General features: G+C 41.6%; 1 protein-coding gene and 1 pseudogene across 2 annotated transcripts in view, besides 8 other annotated features; both read left to right on the top strand.

The window, feature by feature from the left end:
- ANKRD18CP (ankyrin repeat domain 18C, pseudogene) overlaps window positions 1-21,611 on the top strand; it is an 82,850-nt pseudogene that overhangs the window by 9,664 nt on the left and 51,575 nt on the right. Inside the window, exon 2 of the transcript NR_136286.1 lies at window positions 17,592-17,706. The product of NR_136286.1 is annotated as an ankyrin repeat domain 18C, pseudogene (transcript). The remainder of the gene's footprint in view (window positions 1-17,591; window positions 17,707-21,611) is intronic.
- Window positions 1,968-7,566, top strand: LOC107987025 (uncharacterized). The gene has a single exon (XM_047424315.1). The coding sequence runs from the start codon at window positions 6,652-6,654 to the stop codon at window positions 7,564-7,566; it is 915 nt and encodes a 304-aa protein (XP_047280271.1). The 5' UTR covers window positions 1,968-6,651.
- Window positions 6,703-7,317: an enhancer, noted in NCBI's record as "NANOG-H3K27ac-H3K4me1 hESC enhancer chr9:99984044-99984658 (GRCh37/hg19 assembly coordinates)". NCBI's record gives its function as "activates a minimal SCP1, AML or CMV promoter by ChIP-STARR-seq in naive H9 embryonic stem cells {active_cell/tissue: H9 hESC(naive)}" and the evidence as "EXISTENCE:reporter gene assay evidence [ECO:0000049][PMID:30033119]".
- Window positions 7,318-7,932: an enhancer, noted in NCBI's record as "NANOG-H3K27ac-H3K4me1 hESC enhancer chr9:99983429-99984043 (GRCh37/hg19 assembly coordinates)". NCBI's record gives its function as "activates a minimal SCP1, AML or CMV promoter by ChIP-STARR-seq in primed H9 embryonic stem cells {active_cell/tissue: H9 hESC(primed)}" and the evidence as "EXISTENCE:reporter gene assay evidence [ECO:0000049][PMID:30033119]".
- Window positions 7,933-8,548: an enhancer, noted in NCBI's record as "NANOG-H3K27ac-H3K4me1 hESC enhancer chr9:99982813-99983428 (GRCh37/hg19 assembly coordinates)". NCBI's record gives its function as "activates a minimal SCP1, AML or CMV promoter by ChIP-STARR-seq in primed H9 embryonic stem cells {active_cell/tissue: H9 hESC(primed)}" and the evidence as "EXISTENCE:reporter gene assay evidence [ECO:0000049][PMID:30033119]".
- Window positions 8,912-9,849: an enhancer, noted in NCBI's record as "OCT4-NANOG hESC enhancer chr9:99981512-99982449 (GRCh37/hg19 assembly coordinates)". NCBI's record gives its function as "activates a minimal SCP1, AML or CMV promoter by ChIP-STARR-seq in naive and primed H9 embryonic stem cells {active_cell/tissue: H9 hESC(naive and primed)}" and the evidence as "EXISTENCE:reporter gene assay evidence [ECO:0000049][PMID:30033119]".
- Window positions 11,487-12,050: an enhancer, noted in NCBI's record as "NANOG-H3K27ac-H3K4me1 hESC enhancer chr9:99979311-99979874 (GRCh37/hg19 assembly coordinates)". NCBI's record gives its function as "activates a minimal SCP1, AML or CMV promoter by ChIP-STARR-seq in primed H9 embryonic stem cells {active_cell/tissue: H9 hESC(primed)}" and the evidence as "EXISTENCE:reporter gene assay evidence [ECO:0000049][PMID:30033119]".
- Window positions 12,051-12,616: an enhancer, noted in NCBI's record as "NANOG-H3K27ac-H3K4me1 hESC enhancer chr9:99978745-99979310 (GRCh37/hg19 assembly coordinates)". NCBI's record gives its function as "activates a minimal SCP1, AML or CMV promoter by ChIP-STARR-seq in primed H9 embryonic stem cells {active_cell/tissue: H9 hESC(primed)}" and the evidence as "EXISTENCE:reporter gene assay evidence [ECO:0000049][PMID:30033119]".
- Window positions 13,745-14,308: an enhancer, noted in NCBI's record as "OCT4-NANOG-H3K27ac-H3K4me1 hESC enhancer chr9:99977053-99977616 (GRCh37/hg19 assembly coordinates)". NCBI's record gives its function as "activates a minimal SCP1, AML or CMV promoter by ChIP-STARR-seq in naive and primed H9 embryonic stem cells {active_cell/tissue: H9 hESC(naive and primed)}" and the evidence as "EXISTENCE:reporter gene assay evidence [ECO:0000049][PMID:30033119]".
- Window positions 14,309-14,874: an enhancer, noted in NCBI's record as "OCT4-NANOG-H3K27ac-H3K4me1 hESC enhancer chr9:99976487-99977052 (GRCh37/hg19 assembly coordinates)". NCBI's record gives its function as "activates a minimal SCP1, AML or CMV promoter by ChIP-STARR-seq in naive and primed H9 embryonic stem cells {active_cell/tissue: H9 hESC(naive and primed)}" and the evidence as "EXISTENCE:reporter gene assay evidence [ECO:0000049][PMID:30033119]".

Below are 21,611 nucleotides of genomic sequence, written 5' to 3'. Positions count from 1 at the left end.
AGGATGCTGCATCCAGCCTGGGTGACAAGAGCGAGACTCTGTCTGAGAAAAAAAAAAAAAAAAGAATGAAAGATAGAACCTCACAACAGATTCAACAGAAATTTTAAAAGAATTTAAGGTATTATGATGAACAACTAATGTCAACAAGTTTAGCAACATAAATGAAATAAGCAAATTCCGACAAAGACATTAAGTAGCAAAATTGACTAAAGAACAAATAGAAAATCTTAATAGATGTATATAAAGTAAAAAAAAATTGAATTAGTAATTAAACATATTCCCTCTGAAGAAGAGTGTAGTGCTAGAAGCCTTAACCCATGAATTCCATCTAACATTTAAGGAAGAAAGTATATCAGTCATACACAAACATTTCCAGCAAATACAGAAGAGAAGATATGCCAAAACATTTTAGAAAGCCAGTATTAGCTTGATACCAAAGCAGGATGGAGACATCAGAAGAAAAGGAAAGTGCCAAACAATGTCTCTCATAAGTTTACCTGCAAATATGTTTAACAGCCTGGAAGCAAATTACATCCAACAGTATGTAAGACGATCATACACTACATGTCTCTGGAATTAATACTAGTAATGCAAATTTGGTTTACTATCTAAAACACAATGAACATAGTACATCATATAAATAAATAAAGTAGAAAATCAATAGAATCATGTCAAAAGACATAAAAGAATTTTGGCAAAATCCAACACTAATTCCTGATAACTCACAACAAACATGCAGAAAAAAAATAAGTGACAAAACTAACATAAAGGACAAAGGAGAGTAATTGGAATTATACCATTTTAAGGCTCTTATCTTTAACAAAAGTGTTAAAATATTAATTCAGGCCGGGCGCGGTGGCTCACGTCTCTGATCCCAGCACTTTGGGAGGCCGAGATGGGTGGATCACAAGGTCAGGAGATCGAGACCATCCTGGCTAACATGGTGAAACCCCGTCTCTACTAAAAACACAAAAAATTAGCTGGGCGTGGTGGTGGGCGCCTGTAGTCCCAGCTATTCGGGAGGCTGAGGCAGGAGAATGGTGCGAACCCGGGAGGTGGAGCTTGCAGTGAGCCAAGATTGTGCCACTGCACTCCAGCCTGGGCAACAGAGCGAGACTCCGTCTCAAAAAAAAAAAAAAAAAAAAAAAAATATATATATATATATATATATATATATATACTCAAGGTAGACTGTGATAAAGATACATACTGTAATTTTTTTTTTTTTTTGAGACGGAGTCTCACTCTGTCACCCAGGCTGGAGTGCAGTGGTGTGATCTCGGCTCACTGCAATCTCCACCTCCTGGGTTCAAGCAATTCTCATGCCTCAGCCTCCCAAGTAGCTGGGATTACACGAGCATGCCACCACGCCTGGATTGGTTTGTATTTTTAGTAGAGACAGGGTTTCACCATATTGGCCAGGCTGGTCTTGAACTTTGGGACTCATGTGATCTGCAGTCCTCAGCCTCCCAAAGTGCTGGGATTACAGGTGTGAGCCACCACGTCTGGCCTACGTATTGTAATCTTTCAGCTAACAATTTAAAAAATTGAAACAAACAGATATAGCTAAAAAGCCAGCAGAAGAGAGAAAACAGAAGACTAAAAAATAATCACACTAAAGGAAGAATCGAGAAAAAAAGAAACAGAGACAGAAAACAAATAGCAACAGGGTACACTTAAATCTAGTCATTTCAACCATTACATTAAATATAAAAGGGCCCAGCCTTCATAGCTCATGCCTGTAACCCCAGCACTCTGGGAGCTGAGGTGGGAAGATGAGTTGAGACCAGGAGTCTGAGACCAGCCCTGGCAACATAGTGAGATCCTGTGTCTGCAAAAAAAGAAAAATTTAAATAATAAAAAATTAGCCAGGCACAATGCCATATCCCTGCATTCCTAGCTACTCAGGAGGCTGAGGTGAGAGGATCTTTTGACCCTAGGAGTTCAAGGTTACAATGAGCTATGATCATGCCACTGCAGCCCAGCCTGTGTGACTGAGCCAGACCCTGTTTCTAATACATGAATATAGAAGGACTGGATATCTCAATTTCAAAGTTCAGATTTTCAGATGAGATTAAACAATAAATAAATAAACAAGACCCAACACTATGCTGCTCACAAGAACCACATTTTAGATACAGACACAACATTTAGGCAAAAGTATAGATGTAAATGTGCCATGCAAATACTAATCCTAAAAGAGTTGGTATGCCCATATTAATATTAGATAAAGTGGTCTTCAGAACAGGAGTACTGCCAAAGATAAAGGTGTCGAGTCATAATCAAAATAGGCCAGTTCATAAAATTAACAATCTTAAATGGGTGAACCTAGTGAAACTTCAAAATGTGTGAAACAGATATCAACAGAGTAAAGGTGACGATCATCAGATCTACTTTTCAAGTGTATGTGGAACATTAATCAAGATAGATTAAATACTGGACCATAAAATAATTCTCAATAAATATAAAAGGATTTAAATCATAGACAGTTTGTACTCTGAGCAAAATAGGACTAAATTAAGTCAATAACAAAAATATATTCAGAAAAACCTTAATATTTGGCAATTGAGCAAATAACTTTTAAATAAAAATGGATATAGGAATTCTCAGATCTATATTTAAATTTTTAAATTGTGTTAAAATTTTAACTTTAAGTATATAATTCAGTAGCATTAAGTACATTCCCAGTTTTGTACAACCAGCATCTTCATTTCTATCACAAACAGAAATAAAGTACCCATTAAACAATAACCCAGCATTGCTACCTCTCCCCAGTCTCTGGGAAACACTAATCTTCATTCTATTTTCACAAATTTGCCTATTCTAGATATTTCATATCAGTGGAATCATACAACATCTGTCCTTTCGTGTCTGGCTTACTTCACTCAGCATCATATTTCCAAGTTTCACCCATGTTGCATGTATCAGAACTTCATCCTCTTTAATGGCTGAATAATATTCTATTATTTATGTATCATATTTGTGTATCCATTCATTTGTTGATGGACACGGGTTGTCCGTGCCTTTTGGCTATAACGAATAACGCTGCAATTAACTTGGGTGTAAAAATATCTGTTCCAGACCCTGCTGTCAATTTTTTTGTGTGTGAATAATACCTAGGAGTGGAATTTCTGTTTCTCTGTGTGATTCTGTGAGGAACCACCAAATTGTTTTCCACAGCAAGTGCATCATTTTCTATTCCTAGCAGTCAGTTCACGAGGGCTCCAATTTCTCCACCTCTTTAGCAACATTTATTTTCTGTGTCGTTGTTATGAAAGCCTTACTAGTGGATGCAAAGTGGCATCTCGTTTTGATTTTGTCTTGCATTTTATTAATGAATAATGGTGCTTAGCATCTTTTCTTGTCCTTCATAGACATTTATGTATCTTCTTTGGAGAAATGTCTATTCAAGTCCTTTGCCTATTTTTTAATTGGGATGTTAGAAATTCTGTTGTTGAGTTGTGGGATATTAAGCTTTTATCAGATACACACTTTGATTTTATCAGATACGTATTTTCTCACATACTATGGGTTGTCTTTTCAGTCCCTTGATGGTATCCTTTGATGCATAAAGGTTTTTTATTTTGATTAAATCTAATTTATGAGTATTTTCTTTTGTTATCTGTGCTTTTCTGTCATACTTCAAAATACACTTAAAACTCAAAGGTCATAAAGGTTTACCTTGTGTTTTCTTCTAAGAGTTACATATTTTTAGTCCTTACATTTAAGTCTTTTATTAATTTATAATTAATTTTTGTATATACTGCAAGGTAGGGTTCTAACTTCTCTCTTGTGCACTGACATCCAGCTGTTGAAGAGACTGTTCTTTCCTCCCTTGACTAGACTTGGCCACCTTGTTGAACAGTCATTGACCATATATGTGAGGACTAATTTGTAGGATCTCAAATCTATTCTATTCTATTGGTCTAAAAGTCTATTGGTCTTATGCCAGTACCACACTCTCTTGATTACTGTAGATTTGTAATAGGTTGTGAAACTGAAAAATGTGAGTTTTCCAATATTCTTTTTCAAGACTGTTTTTGTCTGTCAGATCCTTTGAATTTTTGTATGAATTTTAGAATGAGTTTCTTTGTTTCTGCAAAGATGCCTTTGGGATTTTGATGGTATTGCATTGAATCTGTAGATTACTTTAGATGGTATTGTCATCTTAACAATATTGTCTTACAACCCGTGAACACAGAATGTCTTTCCAGTTATTTCCACTCTCTTTAGTTTTTTTCAGCAAAGTTTTGTGTATACCACCATGATTAGATTTATGCCTGAATAACTTATTCTTTGATGCTATTATAAATGGAATTTTTTAAATGTTTTCATAGTTCTTTACAACTATATAGAAATATAGCTCATTTGCATATGTTTGTTTTGCATCCTGCCTCTTTTATTAGTTATAATCGGTTTTGTGTTTTGTTTGGAGCTTTATACACATAAGATCATGTGTAGATATAATTTTACTTCTATTTTTTATTTCTAATTTAGATGCCTTTTATTTCTTTGTCTCGCCTGATTGCTCTGGGTAGAACTGCCAATGCTATGTTGAATACAAGTGGCAAATGCACCATCCTTGTCTTGTTCTAGGTGTTAGGAAAACAGCTTTCAGTGTTTCATCATTGATCATGATATTAACTGTTGGGTTTTTATACATCCCATTGTCAGGTTGCAGAAGTTCCCTTCTATGCCTAGTTTATTGAGTATTTTTATTATAGAAGGGTATTGTATTTCATCAATGTTTTTTCTTCATCAATTGAAATAATCATGTGCGTATTCATTTTACTGTTACAGTACATTATACTGATTGATTTTTTTATATGTTGAGCCACCCTTGCATTTTGGGGATAAATCTCACAGGGTGATAGTTTACAATCCTTTGATTATACAGTATTGCTGCTAGTATTTTGGTAGTATTGCTAGTATTTTGCAGAGATTTTTGCTTATATATTCATAAGGGATATTGTGCTGTAGTTCTCTTTTTTGTGCTCTCCTTGGCTTTGGTATAAGGATAATGCTATTATCAAAAAATGAATTAGCAAGTATTCCTTCTTCACATATTTTGTCAGAAGACTTTGAGAAGAAATGGTATTAATTCTTCTTTAAATGTTAGGTTGACTCACCAGTTAATGCAGCTATTTGGTCATAAATGTTTCTTTGTTAATCGCTTTCGATTACTAATTCAATCTCTTAGGTTATAGGTCTATTCAGATTTTCTCTTTCTTCTTGAACCACTTTAGTAGTTTGTGTCTTTCTAGCAATTCGTCCATTTCATCCAGGGCACCTAATTTGTTGTTAGACAGTTGTTCACAGTATACTCCTGTAATCCTTTTGTATTTCTGTAAAGTTGGTAGTAATGGCTCTGCTTTCATTTATTATTTTAATAATTAGTCTTCCATCTTTTGCTCAGTCAATATAGTGAAAGGCTTGATCTTTCAAATAATCTATGTTTATTTATTCTACTGCTCTCCAACATTCTATTTTATTGATTTATGCTCTAATTATGCTCTTTATTATTTCTTTCCTTCTGCTAGCTTTGGATTTAGTCTTTTTTTGTTTTCTTCCATTGCCTTTAGGTATAGAATGAGGATATTGATTTGAGATTTCTTCTTAAATGTAGTTGTTTATATCCATACATTTTCCCTTGAACTCTACTTTCACTGCATTCAATAAGTTTTGGTATGTTTTGTTTTTATTTTGTCTCAAGATATTTTATAATTTTGCTTGTGATTTATTTTTTCACTCACTGGTAGTTTAAGACTGTATTGTTTAATTTTCACATTTTTGTGAATTTTCCAGTTTTCACTTATTTATCTGTTGTTTCTTCCATTGTGGTTGTAAATTATATTTTGTATGATTTCAAACTTTTAAAAATGATTAGGACATATTTTGTGGACGAAGATATGGCCTATCCTAGAGAAAGTTCCATATACACTTGAAAAGAATGTATGTTCTGCTGTTGTTGGATGGACTGTTCTGTATATGTATATTAGCTCTCAATGGTTTATACTGTTGTTTAAGTCTTGTATTTCTCATAAAGCTTCTGTCTGGTTTTTCTATCCATTAATTAAAATGAGGTATTGAAGTGTCCAACTGTTACTATAGAACTGTGGGTTTATCCTTTCGATCCTGTTAATTATTTCAGCTTTACTGAGGTGTAATAGAGAAAATTGTACATGTGATGCGTTTATATGCACATTCTGAAATGATTACCAAAATGAAGTCAATTAACATGTTAATTACCTCACAGAATAGTTACCTTTTTGTGTGCATGCCTGGGATAAGAAAACTTAACTCTATCCCCTGTGACTGCAGAGTGGCCATTCCAGCTGCTCCAGGCTCCAGCAGAGGAAGACCGGGTCAGGTGGCACCAGCAGGAGGGCCCTCAGGTCTGGCGCGCACGCATTCCAGAGGCCACCCAGACCATGCTCCGCCGCCTGGGCGCCCAAGCTGCAGTCGCCCTCTGTGTGCAGGCAGCAGCTGCCTGGCAACCTCCGAGCCCGCTCGCGCTCCCAGCATCGCAGAACCAGGGCCAGGTGTCCCAGTGGCTGCAGCCAAGCCAGGCATTCTGCCCAGCGGCGGCTGCACAGGAGCAGAACCGAGAACCCGCCGCTCAACCCCACACGGGGTGACTGCCGAGTGCCCATGCCAGCGGCCCCAATCCCCCTCAGGTGGAGGAGTGGGCGGGAGGCACGACCTGGGGGCCCTCAGGCTGGGCGCGCTGGCGATCCCGAGGCCGACCAGGCCATGCACCTCCAGCCCGCCTGGGCACCCAAGCTGCAGCCGCCTTCTGTGTGCAGGCAGCAGCCTCCAGGCAACTCTCGAGCCCGCCCGCACTCCCCACATCTCAGAACCAGGGCCAGATGTCCCTGTGGCTGCGGCCAAGCCAGGCGGTCTGTCCTGCAGCAGCTGCACAGGGGCGGGAACCGGCCCTCAGCCCCATCCCCGGTGGTTGCAGAGGGCCCCTGGCTAGAGGTCTCGAGCTCTGGCAGAGGAGGAGCCGGGTGGGGGCAGGGTCTGGCGGGCTCTCAGGCCAGGGGCACTCGCGATCCAGAGGCCGCCCAGGCCATGCTCCACCACCTGGGCGCCCAGCTACAGGCGCCAGGCAACTCCCAAGCTGGCTGGCGCGCCCAGCCTCGCAGAACCGGGGCTAGATGTCGCTGTGGCTGCGGCCAAGCCAGGCGGTCTGCCCGCGGCGGCTGCACCGGGGCAGGAACCGACCCTCAGCCCCATCCCCGGTGGCTGCGGAGAGCCCCTGCCAGCGGCCCCATCTCTCTTCGGAGGAGGAGAGGAGCGGGAGTCACGGCCAGGCGGGCCCTCAGGCGGGAAGGGATGCGCGCCTGCGATTCCGGGATGTCCTGCGCGAGCCCAGGAGAACCCGCAAGCCAGCGGCGCCTGCGCCCGAGCTGCAGCCGCCCTCTGCCGTCCACGCGAGCTCGAGAGCGGCTCCCGGAGTCCGGGCTAGCGCCGAGCTGCAGGCGCGCGCCTAACCGCTTTGCTGGGCTCACGCGGTCTGAGAGGTCGGAGCGCCCAACTGCTGGCACGCGAGTAACGGCTTAGTTAAGCTCACTCGGTCTGAGAGGTCGGAGGCTGCGAGTGTCGCTGCTGAAGGCTGTGGTGGACCGGGCTGGATCGCGGATTCTGAGCTACATCGCGGGGTTGGGGGTGGATCTTGGGTTTGGGGGTGGATTGCTGGTTTGGTGGTGGATCTTGGATTTAGGGGTGGATAGCGGGGTGGGGAGGGGGATCGCGGATTTGGAACTTGGTCGGGGTGGAAAGGCCACGAGGAGCCGCGGCGGCTCAGTAGCGGGTGGTTGGCGTCTGAGAAGTCGCCACCATGAGGAAACTCTTCAGTTTCGGGAGACGCCTGGGCCAGGCGCTCCTGAGCTCCATGGACCAAGAGTACGCGGGTCGGGGGTACCACATCGGGGACTGGGAACTGCGGAAGATCCACAGGGTGGCCATCAAGGGCGACGCCGCGGAGGTGGAGCGCTGCCTGACTCGCAGGTTCCGGGACTTGGATGCCCGCGACAGAAAGGACAGGTAGCGGGGGCTCAGCCCGCGGTGGGAGGGGGCCCCCAGGCCCTGTTTGCCCGCAGCGCCTGAGGCGGGGGCCTTGGAGGTCGCCGGGCCCTGGAGCCGCGAAGCCAAATGGAGCCTCAGCTGCTTTCCATCCCTGGCAATTTCCCGCCTGTAGCGCTTGGTGGATAATTTGAGTGATTTAACTCACAAAGTTAAGTATATCCATGTTTACATGGAGCTATATACATGATAGGGAGGTGCCTAATGAGAACTCATTCCCATGTCAAAAATACCATGAGCCATTTTCAGTAGGCGAAGAGTTCTCAGATTAAACCCTGTGTGGGTTTTACATCCGAATCCACCTAGGTAGATAGGTTCTTTACTGGGGCTTCTTAGAGGGACACTTGGAAGTGGGAGGTGGGTTCCTTGAATGAGAAGACTCAGTTTTCTCAAAATGTGAGCTCTTAATATGTTTATCAGTTTTACATAAACCGAATGAAAAATCAAGGTTTTATCATTTTTGCATGACACTTGCTGTCTATCTTACCATTGTGATGACATTTAAAAATTTTTATAATGGAGTGAAAAAAGACTTGCTCTTCTAGATATCAAAATGTGCTATTAATTCTCACAATTATTTACTAACAGCTAAAAACACATATAAATAAATGGAACAGAATAGGAAATCCAAAAACACTGAAATATATGTAAGATATATACACAGGGATTAATAATGGTAACATTTCAGATGAGTAGGAAAGGATGAGTTATTAATAAAATGCCTGCTGTGTGAAGAAAACTAATGAAATTTTATGTCGCAAAAATGAGTTCCCGATGAAATTCCGACTGAAATTTTTACATATGCAAAATGAGAAAAGTACCAGAAGAAAACACAAAGACTTATTTATACAGATACATTTTACGTTAACAGAGGCCTTCCTAAGAATGACCTTACAAGCAGGCATTCTGAAGATTGATTTAGCAAACTAAAATTAAAATCCCCTGTGTATCAGAAAAAAATTAACAAAAGATAATTTCATGCGCGTCCGTGTGAAGAGACCACCAAACAGGCTTTGTGTGAGCAACATGGCTGTTTATTTCACCTGGGTGCAGGTGGGCTGAGTCCGAAAAGAGAGTCAGCCAAGGGAGATAAGGGTGGGGTCGTTTTATAGGATTTGGGAAGGTAAAGGAAAATTACAGTCAAAGGGGGTTTGTTTTCTGGTGGGTAGGAGTGGGGGTCGCAAGGTGCTCAGTGGGCAGGAGTGGGGGTCGCAAGGTGCTCAGTGGGGGTGCTTTTTGAGCCAGGATGAGCCAGGAAAAGGACTTTCACAAGGTAATGTCATCAGTTAAGGCAAGGACCAGCCATTTACACTTCTTTTGTGATAGAATGTCATCAGTTAAGGTGGGACAAAGCATATTCACTTCTTTTGTGATTCTTCAGTTACTTCAGGCCATCTGGGCATATACCTGCAAGTCACAGGGGATGCGACGGGTTAGCTTGGGCTCAGAGGCCTGACATTCCTGCCTTCTTATATTTATAAGAAAAATAAAACAAAATAGTGTTGAAGTGTTGGGGCGGCGAAAATTTTTTGGGGGGTGGTATGGAGAGAGAATGGGCGATGTTTCTCAGGGCTGCTTCAAGCGGGATTAGGGGCGGCGTGGGAACCTAGAGTGGGAGAGATTAAGCTGAAGGGGGAGGTCTTGTGGTAAGGGGTGATATTGTGGGGATGTTAGAAGAAACATTTGCCATATAGAATGATTGGTGATGGCCTGGATACGGTTTTGGATGAATTGAGAAACTAAATGGAATAACAGAAGGAGAAAAACAGGTATAAAAGGTCTAAGAATTGGGACTACTCAGGATATCTGATTAGAGAGTGCCTAAGGAGATTCAGCATAGTCCTGCCAGCAAAGATTATTTATTTACTTCAAGAGTTAACAGTGGCAGTTTGGGGATAGCACCAGGAGATATAAGCTGAGATGGCTTGGAAAAACAGTGTAAACCGGCAGTGTAAACAAGAGCAGGGCATGTATGAGTAGTTGAGAACAGTGAATAGGAGTATGACTAGACAGAAGATAGTAAGGATGACAAGTTTTTTTGGGGGCACAGTCTAAGTTGGTCTGGTGTCTGGAATGAGACTGGGGCCTAATAAAAAGGAGCGTCTATATAGGAGCTCAAATGGGCTGTACCCTGTAGCATTCCGAGGACAGGCCTGAATTCTGAGAAGGGAAAGTGGTAAAAGTATTGTCCAGTCCTTTTTAAGTTGGTGGCTGAGCTTGGTGAGGTGTGTTTTTAAAAAACCTTTAGTCCATTTTACTTTTCTTGAAGTTGGAGGACCATAAGGGATATAAAGGTTTCACTGAATACTAAGAGCCTGAAAAACTGCTTGCCTGATTTGACTAATAAAGGCTCGTCTGTTATCAGACTGTATTGAGGTGGGAAGGCTAAACTGAGGAATTATGTCTGACAGAACGGAAGAAATGACTGCGGTGGCCTTCTCAGACCCTGTAGGAAAGGCCTCTACTTATTTTGAGGGCCTCTAAAAGTATTAAAGCAGCGGTAGCCACTGCACGCAGACATGAGGGCTAGGCTAAAACAGTAAGGTCAAGTTGTTTGGACAGAAAGGCTACAGGGTGTGGTCCTGGCTCTTGTGTAAAAATTCTGACCTCGCTAACCATGCCTAGGAAGGAAAGGAGTTGTTGTTTTGTAGAAGATGCTTGGGTTTGAGAGATCAGTCGGACACGATTGGCAGGGAGAGCACGTGTGTTTTTATGAGAATTATGCCGAGGTAGGTAACAGTTGAGGAAGAAATTTGGGCTTGATTGAAGTAACGGGGGCTGTCTGTGAAGCTTTGCGGCAGTACAGCCTAGGTAATTTGCTGAGCTTGATGGGTGTCAGGGTCAGTCCAAGTGAAAGCGAAGAGAGGCTGGGATGAAGGGTGCAAAGGAATAGTAAAGAAAGCATGTTTGAGATCCAGAACAGAATAATGGGTTGTGGAGGGAGGTATTGAGCATAGGAGAGTATATGGGTTTGGCACCACGGGGTGGATAGGCAAAACAATTTGGTTGATAAGGCGCAGATCCTGAACTAACTTGTAAGGCTTGTCTGGTTTTAGGACAGGTAAAATGGGGGAATTGTAAGGAGAGTTTATAGGCTTTGAAAGGCCATGCTGTAGCAGGCGAGTGATAACAGGCTTTAATCTTTTTAAAGTGTGCTGCGGGATGGGATATTGGCGTTGAGTGGGGTAAGGGTGATTAGGTTTTAATGAGATGGTAAGGGGTGCATGATCGGTCGCCAAGGAGGGAGTAGAGGTATCTTATACTTGTGGGTTAAGGTGGGGGGATACAAGAGGAGGACGCAAAGGAGGCTTTGGATTGGGAAGAAGGGCCGCAATGAGATATAGCTGTAGTCCAGGAATAGTCAGGGAAGCAGATAATTTAGTGAAAGTGTCTCAGCCTAATAAGGGAACTGGGCAGGTGGGGATAACTAAAAAGGAGTGCTTAAAAGAGTATTGTCTAAGTTGGCACCAGAGTTGGGGAGTTTTAAGAGGTTTAGAAGCCTGGCTGTCAATACCCACAACAGTTACGGAGGCAAGGGAAACAGACCCTTGAAAAGAAGGTAATGTGGAGTGGGTAGCCTCCGTATTGATTAAGAAGGGGACGGACTTACCCTCCACTGTGAGTTACCTAAAGCTCGGCGTCCGTGATGGTCTACGGGGCTTCTGAGGCGATCAGGCAGCGTCAGTCTTCAGCCGGTAAGCCAAGAAGGAGTCAGTCAGAGAGCCTTGGGCCAGAGTTCCAGGAGCTCTGGGAGTGGCTGCCAGGTGAGTTGAACAGTCCGATTTTCAGTGGGGTCCCACACAGATGGGACATGGCTTAGGAGAAATCCTGGGCTGCGGGCATTCCTTGGCCCAGTGGCCAGATTTCCGGCACGTGTAGCAAGCTCCTGTGGGAGGAGGTTCTGGAGGAACGCCTGGCTGCTACGGTCCAGGCGTTTGGAAGTTCTTGTGTGCTGGAGATGTGGCTGGGGTTTGTCTCACAGTGGAGGCAAGGAATTGCAACTTTTTTCTATTATGGTACACCTTGAAGGCGAGGTTAATTAAATCCTGTTGTGGGGTTTGAGGGCCGGAATTTAATTTTTGGAGTTTTATTTAATGTCGGGAGCAGATTGGGTAATAAAATGTATTTTGAGAATAAGACGGCCTTTTGACCTTTTAGGGTCTAGGGCTGTAAAGTGTCTTAGGGTTGCTGCCAAACAAGTCATGAACTGGGCTGGATTTTTATATTTGATGAAAAAGAGCCTAAACGCTATCTGATTTGGGATAAAGAAAAAGGAGCATTAACCTTGACTATGCCTTTGGCTCCAGCCACCGTTTTAAGAGTAAATTGCTGGGCAGGAGGGGGAGGGCTAGTCATGGAACGAAACTGTAAGCCGGACCAGGTGTGAGGAGGGGAGGTGATAAAAAGATTTTAAGTCATGAACTGGGCTGGATTTTTATATTTGATGAAAAAGAGCCTAAACACTATCTGATTTGGGATAAAGAAAAAGGAGCATTAACCTTGACTATGCCTTTGGCTCCAGCCACCGTTTTAAGAGTAAATTGCTGGGCAGGTGGGGGAGGGCTAGTCACGGAACGAAACTGTAAGTCGGACCAGGTGTGAGGATGGGAGGTGATAAAAAGATTATAGGGTGGAGGAGCAGAGGCTGAGGAAGAATTGGGACCTAGCTCGGCCTGGCGAGGAGCAGCCTGGGGAGGAAGGGAGAGGTCAGATGGGTCTGTAGAAAAGGAAGATTAGAAAGACTCAGCAACACTTGGGGTTGGTACTGAGGGGACAGGCGGGAGGGAAAGAAGGAAGATTTGGGACGAGTTGCACTGGGCACAGAGACTAGGAAGGGACTGATGTGTAAAAGAATGCCTGGACGTCAGGCACCTCAGACCGTTTGCCTATTTTATGACAAGAATTATTTAGATCTTGCAGGATGGAAAAATTCAAAGTGCCATTTTCTGGCTATTTGGAACTACTGTCGAGTTTGTATTGGGGTCAAGCGGCATTGCAGAAGAAAATAAGGCATTTAGGTTTTAGGTCAGGTGTGAGTTGAAGAGGTTTTAAGTTTTTGAGAACACAGGCTAAGGGAGAAGAAGGAGGAATGGAAGGTGGAAGCTTACCTTTAGTGAAGGAGGCAAGCATAGAGAAAAGAGTAGAGACACGGAGAAGGGGTGGGGGGTTCTTGCCCTCCAGAAAAGCAGAGAAGGGGTTGGGGCACAGAAATAAGGGATTGGGGCACAGAGATAAGAGGTCAGGGTGCAGAAATAAGGGATTGAAGCACAGAGATAAGAGGTTGGGGTGCGGAAATAAGTGATTGGGGGTTCTTGCCTCCTAGGAAAGCGGGACTTGCTGCTAAGGGTGAAGGAGAAGGGGTTGGGGGTACTTGCCCCTGCCCCAGGAAAGCGGGACTTGCCGCTGAGGGTGAAGGGGAAGGGGTTGGGGTACTTGCCCCTGCCCCAGGAAAGCGGGACTTGCCGCTGAGGGTGAAGGGGAAGGGGTTGAGGGGTACTTGCCCCTGCCCCAGGAAAGCGGGACTTGCCGCTGAGGGTGAAGGGGAAGGGGTTGAGGGGTACTTGCCCTTGCCACTAAGGGTGAAGGACCAAGGCAGGTGTCCCTGCGTGGTCTGACACCCTTGAAACGTGAGTGTATAATCAGAGAGGCGTCTCTGCAATGATTAAACACCAAGGGAAGGCTGCCTTCCTAGTCCATGACCGGCGCTGGAGTTTTGGGTTCACGGATAAAACATGTCTCTTTTGTCTCTACCAGAAAATGAAAGGAATTGAAATTAAGAGAAGGGAGAGATTGAAGTGTGGCGCCAAGATTGAAAGGAGAAAGAGGTTGAGGGATAGTGAGGGAGGTCGGAGAAGAGAGTAAAAAGAGGCCGCTTACCGGATTTGAAATTGGTGAGATGTTTCTTGGGCTGGTCGGTCTGAGGACCCGAGGTCGTAGGTGGATCTTTCTCATGGAGCAAAGAGCAGGAGGACAGGGGATTGATCTGCCAAGGGAGGTCCCCCGATCCGAGTCACGGCACCAAATTTCATGTGTGTCCGTGTGAAGAGACCACCAAACAGGCTTTGTGTGAGCAACATGGCTGTTTATTTCACCTGGGTGCAGGTGGGCTGAGTCCGAAAAGAGAGTCAGCCAAGGGAGATAAAGGTGGGGCCGTTTTGTAAGATTTAGGTAGGTAAAGGAAAATTACAGTCAAAGGGGGTTTGTTCTCTGGCGGGTAGGAGTTGGGGTCGCAAGGTGCTCAGTGGGCAGGAGTAGGGGTTGCAAGGTGCTCAGTAGGGGTGCTTTTTGAGCCAGGAAAAGGACTTTCACAAGGTAATGTCATCAGTTAAGGCAAGGACCGGCCATTTACACTTCTTTTGTGGTGGAATGTCATCAGTTAAGGTGGGGCAAGGCATATTCACTTTTTTTGTGATTCTTCAGTTACTTCAGGCCATCTGGGCGTATACGTGCAAGTCACAGAGGATGCGATGGCTTGGCTTAGGCTCAGAGGCCTGACAGATAACACACCTGAAAAATATTTACCATATATATTTTTACTAATATATAAAAATATGTATTCAGATGAAAAGTGTATCTTCATCCTACAGGGAATTTATTCTTTATTATATATAATATATATATTACTGATTATATGTATAACAAATTGTATGTATTACTAATATAATGTTATATATATCAGTTATATATATATACAGATAAAAAGCACAACTTTATTTTACAGGGAATTCTTTCCAATCAAATCCGAAAGAAAAGAAGTCTAAAAGTGAGCAAAGTACTTTTTGCAGATCCACAAGTTACTTATGTACATAGGAAAAATTCCTTAGTGTTTCTCATAAGAGAATTTAAGTTAAAAGAGGAATGAGACTGTTTTCCATCCACAGTGTTTGTGAGAATAAAGAGCAGTGGCACTTACACTGCTGCTTGAAGTTTAACTTGCTGATGACTTTTCAAGTGGATAATTTGGAGATAATTACCACATTTTAAAAATGTATATGCCCTTTACCCATCAATTCCATTGTAATAAAATACCTTCAGAAAATAGAGATACATGCACTTTTTTCCCCAGCATTTATGTTAACAAGAACCCATAGAACGGATATGTGGCCATTGAAGGTGGCAATAGGTAGAGAAGTATGTTGATGTGTGAAAATGCATTTTGTTACAGCCAGTGAGGAAAAAGAAATCAGTTTGCTTGCACATACACACAAACATACTATGGTCTGGTGTTAGGTAAAACTATGTACAAAATAGGATAAAATTTGTAACTTCTGAGCATTTGTATTTTAAAGTTTTTTGTTCCTTTTTCTTACGTTTGATTTCTGAAGTGAGCATTTATAAAATTTCTAGTAAAAATATATTATTAATGGAATAAATTTTGGGAAGAGAGAAATGTGAATCTTGTATAGATAAAAATAATTTCTCACTATTTTTTATCATTATTATTGTGAGGGTTGTTATCTTGTTTGAACTTTTAGCTTCTTCAGAAGTAAAAAGGGAATCTTTTTATCTGCTTGCAGATTTTATGTATATACTTTATTATGTGTATATGTTTTTCTTATGTATAGATTCATTACATATAGGCAAACAATGATAGATTAATAATTTCATTATAGTTGTAGTCTTATAAAAATAACAAATAGCAAATATTATTACTATCACAAAAATATTGGTTTATAGAAGTTGTATTTAAAAATATTGAGCTCCCCAACTCTATTCTATCAATCCATTTATTCATCAAACATAACCTGAATATGTTATGTAGCAGACTTTTTGCACTATCTCCCAGGACCCTTCCATACTTAAAAACTTTGTTTACCTGTTCTGCCTCAGCAAGATGAGAGATTTAAAATGGGAATAGTAGGACTTAATCTTATTGAAGCTTTTCCTCCCACCTTTCAAGCAAAAGCATTTCTGAAGGTAGAAAACAATAAGAGATAAGCTTTAACTGCCCTTTTGAAAATTTATCAGTCTTAAATACTAATATTAATCATTGGAAAGTCTGATTTGCATATATTCTGTAAATCTAAGTGTTCACTAAAATGAGCCATACCTGTTCATCTCAATCATGAGTTTCCTTTAGCTTCACGGTTTTTTTGTTTTGTTTTGTTTTGTTTGAGACAGAGTCTTACTCTGTCGCCTAGGCTGGAGTGCAGTGGCGTGATCTCAGCTCACTGCAACCTCTGCTGCCAAGGTTCAAGTGATTATCCTGCTTCAGCCTCCTGAGTAGCTGGGATTACAGGTGCTTGCTACCACGCCCAGCTAATTTTTGTAGTTTTAGTAGAGACGGGGTTTCACCATGTTGGCCAGGCTGGTCTTGAACTCCTGACCTACAGATCCACCCACCTTGGCCTCCCAAAGTGCTGGGATTACAGGCATGAGCCACCGCACCCGGACAGCTTCACATTTTTAAAAATCAGAGTAAGAAGTAATTTGTTTAAAAAATATGTTGTTATTTCAGTGCTCTTTCCCCATGGTACTTTTAGGAATTAAAATGTATTTAAGTGTCAATTAGATGCCTAGAACTGCCCTAGACCTGCTGTGTATACAGTATTCTACTTACTGTAAGGCCTCATGGATTGTGTGATACCCTACTATTTTCTATATTAAGAAGATGATTTTTAAATGCTACCAATTATAGTTATAAAAAATTATGAATTATAAATACTATTCCAATATCAGATGCTCTGAAATGTGACCTAATCTTTAAATCATCCTGCAAAATAGCAATAATTGTATCATTTTACTTAATTAAAATGTTTTTGTTAAGGAGTAGTAATAGTAATAATTATAACATCTGGCTGAGTGCGTGGCTCACAGCTGTTATTCCAGAACTTTGGAAAGCTGAGGTGGGAAGTTCCCACCATGCTAGGAGTTTGAGACCAGCCTGGGCAACAAAGTGACATTCCTACTCTACAAAAAAATTTTAAAAATTAGCTGATCATGCTGGTGCACTCCTGTAGTCCCAGCTACTCAGGAGGCTGGGCAGGAGGATTGCTTGAGCCTGCGAGTTCCAGGCTGCAGTGAGGCATAAATACACCATTGCACTCCAGCCTGGGCAACAGAGCAAGACTGTCTCAACAAACAAAAATCTAACAATTATTGAGTTGTTGCTTGTTCTGGAAGTGGTTCTAAATGCTTTACATAGAGTCTCATTTAAGCATCACACTGGTGTCTTGTGAGCTAGCTGCTTTGTCATCTTTATTAATGAGGAAATTCAGGCACAGAAAGGCTAAGCAATAGCTGGTATGTGACTGAGTTCAAAGTGGAACTCAAACCCTAGTTGAACTGAATCCAAACACCAAGCTTATTCTATCCAAATAGGCTGCTGTTTCATTAAGGTAGGGAGCAGTAAGAGCTAATAAATATTGTACTTTCTTCAAAAGAAAATTGTTTGTTTTGAAGGCAGAGGAATAACATGCCATTCAATGTATACAATTACATGAACCATTGTAGGTTTTGAGATACTGCACTACATTTCCTGAAAACTCCTCTCGCTCACTTAGGACTGTTCTACATTTGGCCTGTGCCCATGGCCATGTGGAAGTGGTCACTCTCTTGCTGGGGAGAAGATGCCTGATTGACATCTGTGACAGACTAAACAGGACGTCTTTAATGAAGGTACATAGTAGCCAACTCTTTCAGCATGAAATGCATTTGATTTAAATACATAGAATTAAAATGAATTTTATTTTATTATTATTATACTTTAAGTTTTAGGGTACTTGTGCACAATGTGCAAGTTAGTTAACATATGTATACATGTGCCATGCTGGTGTACTGCACCCATTAACTCGTCATTTAGCATTAGTATATCTCCTAATGCTATCCCTCCCCCCTCCCCCAACCCCACAACAGGCCCTGGTGTGTGATGTTCCCCTTCCTGTGTCCGTGTGTTCTCATTGTTCAATTCCCACCTATGAGTGAGAACATGCAGTGTTTGGTTTTTTGCCCTTGCGATAGTTTACTGAGAATGATGATTTCCAATGTCATCCATGTCCCTACAAAGGACATGAACTCATCATTTTTATGGCTGCATAGTATTCCATGGTGTATATGTGCCACATTTTCTTAATCCAGTCTATCATTGTTGGACATTTGGGTTGGTTCCAAGTCTTTGCTATTGTGAATAGTGCCACAATAAACATACGTGTGCATGTGTCTTTATAGCAGCATGATTTATAATCCTTTGGGTATATACCCAGTAATGGGATGGCTGGATCAAATGGTATTTCTAGTTCTAGATCCCTGAGGAATCGCCACACTGACTTCCACAATGGTTGAACTAGTTTACCGTCCCACCAACAGTGTAAAAGTGTTCCTATTTCTCCACATCCTCTCCAGCACCTGTTGTTTCCTGACTTTTTAATGATTGCCATTCTAACTGGTGTGAGATGATATCTCATTGTGGTTTTGATTTGCATTTCTCTGATGGCCAGTGATGATGAGCATTTTTTCATGTGTTTTTTGGCTGCATAAATGTCTTCTTTTGAGAAGTGTCTGTTCATGTCCTTCGCCCACTTTTTGATGGGGTTGTTTGTTTTTTTCTTGTAAATTTGTTTGAGTTCACTGTAGATTCTGGATATTAGCCCTTTGTCAGATGAGTAGGTTGCGAAAATTTTCTCCCATTTTGCAGGTTGCCTGTTCACTCTGATGGTAGTTTCTTTTGCTGTGTAGAAGCTCTTTAGTTTAATTAGATCCCATTTGTCAATTTTGTCTTTTGTTGCCATTGCTTTTGGTGTTTTAGACATGAAATCCTTGCCCATGCCTATGTCCTGAATGGTAATGCCTAGGTTTTCTTCTAGGGTTTTTATGGTTTCAGGTCTAACATTTAAGTCTTTAATCCATCTTGAATTGATTTTTGTAGAAGGTATAAGGAAGGGATCCAGTTTCAGCTTTCTACGTATGGCTAGCCAGTTTTCCCAGCACCATTTATTAAATAGGGAATCCTTTCCCCATTGCTTGTTTTTCTCAGGTTTGTCAAAGATCAGACAGTTGTAGATATGCGGCGTTATTTCTGAGGGCTCTGTTCTGTTCCATTGATCTATATCTCTGTTTTGGTACCAGTACCATGCTGTTTTGGTTACTGTAGCCTTGTAGTATAGTTTGAAGTCAGGTAGCGTGATGCCTCCAGCTTTGTTCTTTTGGCTTAGGATTGACTTGGTGATGCGGGCTCTTTTTTGGTTCCATATGAACTTTAAAATAGTTTTTTCCAATTCTGTGAAGAAAGTCATTGGTAGCTCAATGGGGATGGCATTGAATCTATAAATTACCTTGGGCAGTATGGCCATTTTCACGATATTGATTCTTCCTACCCATGAGCATGGAATGTTCTTCCATTTGTTTGTATCCTCTTTTATTTCATTGAGCAGTGGTTTGTAGTTCTCCTTGAAGAGGTCCTTCACATCCCTTGTAAGTTGGATTCCTAGGTATTTTATTCTCTTTGAAGCAATTGTGAATGGGAGTTCACTCATGATTTGGCTCTCTGTTTGTCTGTTATTGGTGTATAAGAATGCTTGTGATTTTTGTACATTGATTTTGTATCCTGAGACTTTGCTGAAGTTGCTTATCAGCTTAAGGAGATTTTGGGCTGAGACAATGGGGTTTTCTAGATATACAATCATGTCCTCTGCAAACAGGGACAATTTGACTTCCTCTTTTCCTAACTGAATACCCTTTATTTCCTTCTCCTGTCTAATTGCCCTGGCCAGAACTTCCAACACTATGTTGAATAGGAGTGGTGAGAGAGGGCATCCCTGTCTTGTGCCAGTTTTCAAAGGGAATGCTTCCAGTTTTTGCCCATTCAGTATGATATTGGCTGTGGGTTTGTCATAGATAGCTCTTATTATTTTGAGATACGTCCCATCAGTACCTTATTTATTGAGAGTTTTTAGCATGAAGGGTTGTTGAATTTTGTCAAAGGCCTTTTCTGCATCTATTGAGATAATCATGTGGTTTTTGTCTTTGGTTCTGTTTATATGCTGGATTACATTTATTGATTTGCGTATATTGAACCAGCCTTGCATCCCAGGGATGAAGCCCCCTTGATCTTGGTGGATAAGCTTTTTGATGTGCTGCTGGATTCGGTTTGCCAGTATTTTATTGAGGATTTTTGCATCAATGTTCATCAACGATATTGGTCTAAAATTCTCTTTTTTGGTTGTGTCTCTGCCCGGCTTTGGTATCAGGATGATGCTGGCCTCATAAAATGAGTTAGGGAGGATTCCCTCTTTTTCTATTGACTGGAATAGTTTCAGAAGGAATGGTACCAGTTCCTCCTTGTACCTCTGGTAGAATTCGGCTGTGAATCCATCTGGTCCTGGACTCTTTTTGGTTGGTAAGCTATTGATTATTGCCACAATTTCAGATCCTGTTATTGGTCTATTCAGAGATTCAACTTCTTACTGGTTTAGTCTTGGGAGGGTGTATGTGTCGAGGAATTTATCCATTTCTTCTAGATTTTCTAGTTTATTTGCGTAGAGGTGTTTGTAGTATTCTCTGATGGTAGTTTGTATTTCTGTGGGATCAGTGGTGATATCCCCTTTATCATTTTTTATTGCGTCTATTTGATTCTTCTCTCTTTTCTTCTTTATTAGTCTTGCTAGCAGTCTATCAATTTTGTTGATCCTTTCAAAAAACCAGCTCCTGGATTCATTAATTTTTTGAAGGGTTTTTTTGGTCTCTATTTCCTTCAGTTCTGCTCTGATTTTAGTTATTTCTTGCCTTCTGCCAGCTTTTGAATGTGTTTGTTCTTGCTTTTCTAGTTGTTTTAATTGTGATGTTAGGATGTCAATTTTGGATCTTTCCTGCTTTCTCTTGTGGGCATTTAGTGCTATAAATTTCCCTCTACACACTGCTTTGAATGTGTCCCAGAGATTCTGGTATGTTGTGTCTTTGTTCTCGTTGGTCTCAAAGAACATCTTTATTTCTGCCTTCATTTCGTTATGTACCCAGTAGTCATTCAGGAGCAGGTTGTTCAGTTTCCATGTAGTTGAGCAGTTTTGAGTGAGTTTCTTAATCCTGAGTTCTAGTTTGATTGCACTGTGGTCTGAGAGACAGTTTTTTATAATTTCTGTTCTTTTACATTTCCTGAGGAGAGCTTTACTTCCCAGTATGTGGTCAATTTTGGAGTAGGTGTGGTGTGGTGCTGAAAAAAATGTATATTCTGTTGATTTGGGGTGGAGAGTTCTGTAGATGTCTATTAGGTCCGCTTGGTGCAGAGCTGAGTTCAATTCCTGGGTATCCTTGTTAACTTTCTGTCTCGTTGATCTGTCTAATGTTGACAGTGGGGCGTTAAAATCTCCCATTATTATTGTGTGGGAGTCTAAGTCTGTTCGTAGGTCACTCAGGACTTGCTTTATGAATCTGGGTGCTTCTGTATTGGGTACATGTATATTTAGGATAGTTAGCTCTTCTTGTTGAATTGATCCGTTTACCATTATGTAATGGCCTTTTTGTCTCTTTTGATCTTTGTTGGTTTAAAGTCTATTTTATCAGAGACTAGGATTGCAACCCCTGCCTTTTTT

Source organism: Homo sapiens, chromosome 9, assembly GCF_000001405.40.
Source record: "Homo sapiens chromosome 9, GRCh38.p14 Primary Assembly".
Lineage (NCBI taxonomy): Eukaryota > Metazoa > Chordata > Mammalia > Primates > Hominidae > Homo > Homo sapiens.
Note: the sequence above shows the minus strand (reverse complement) of the source record. Positions and strands in the feature narration are given on the sequence as shown.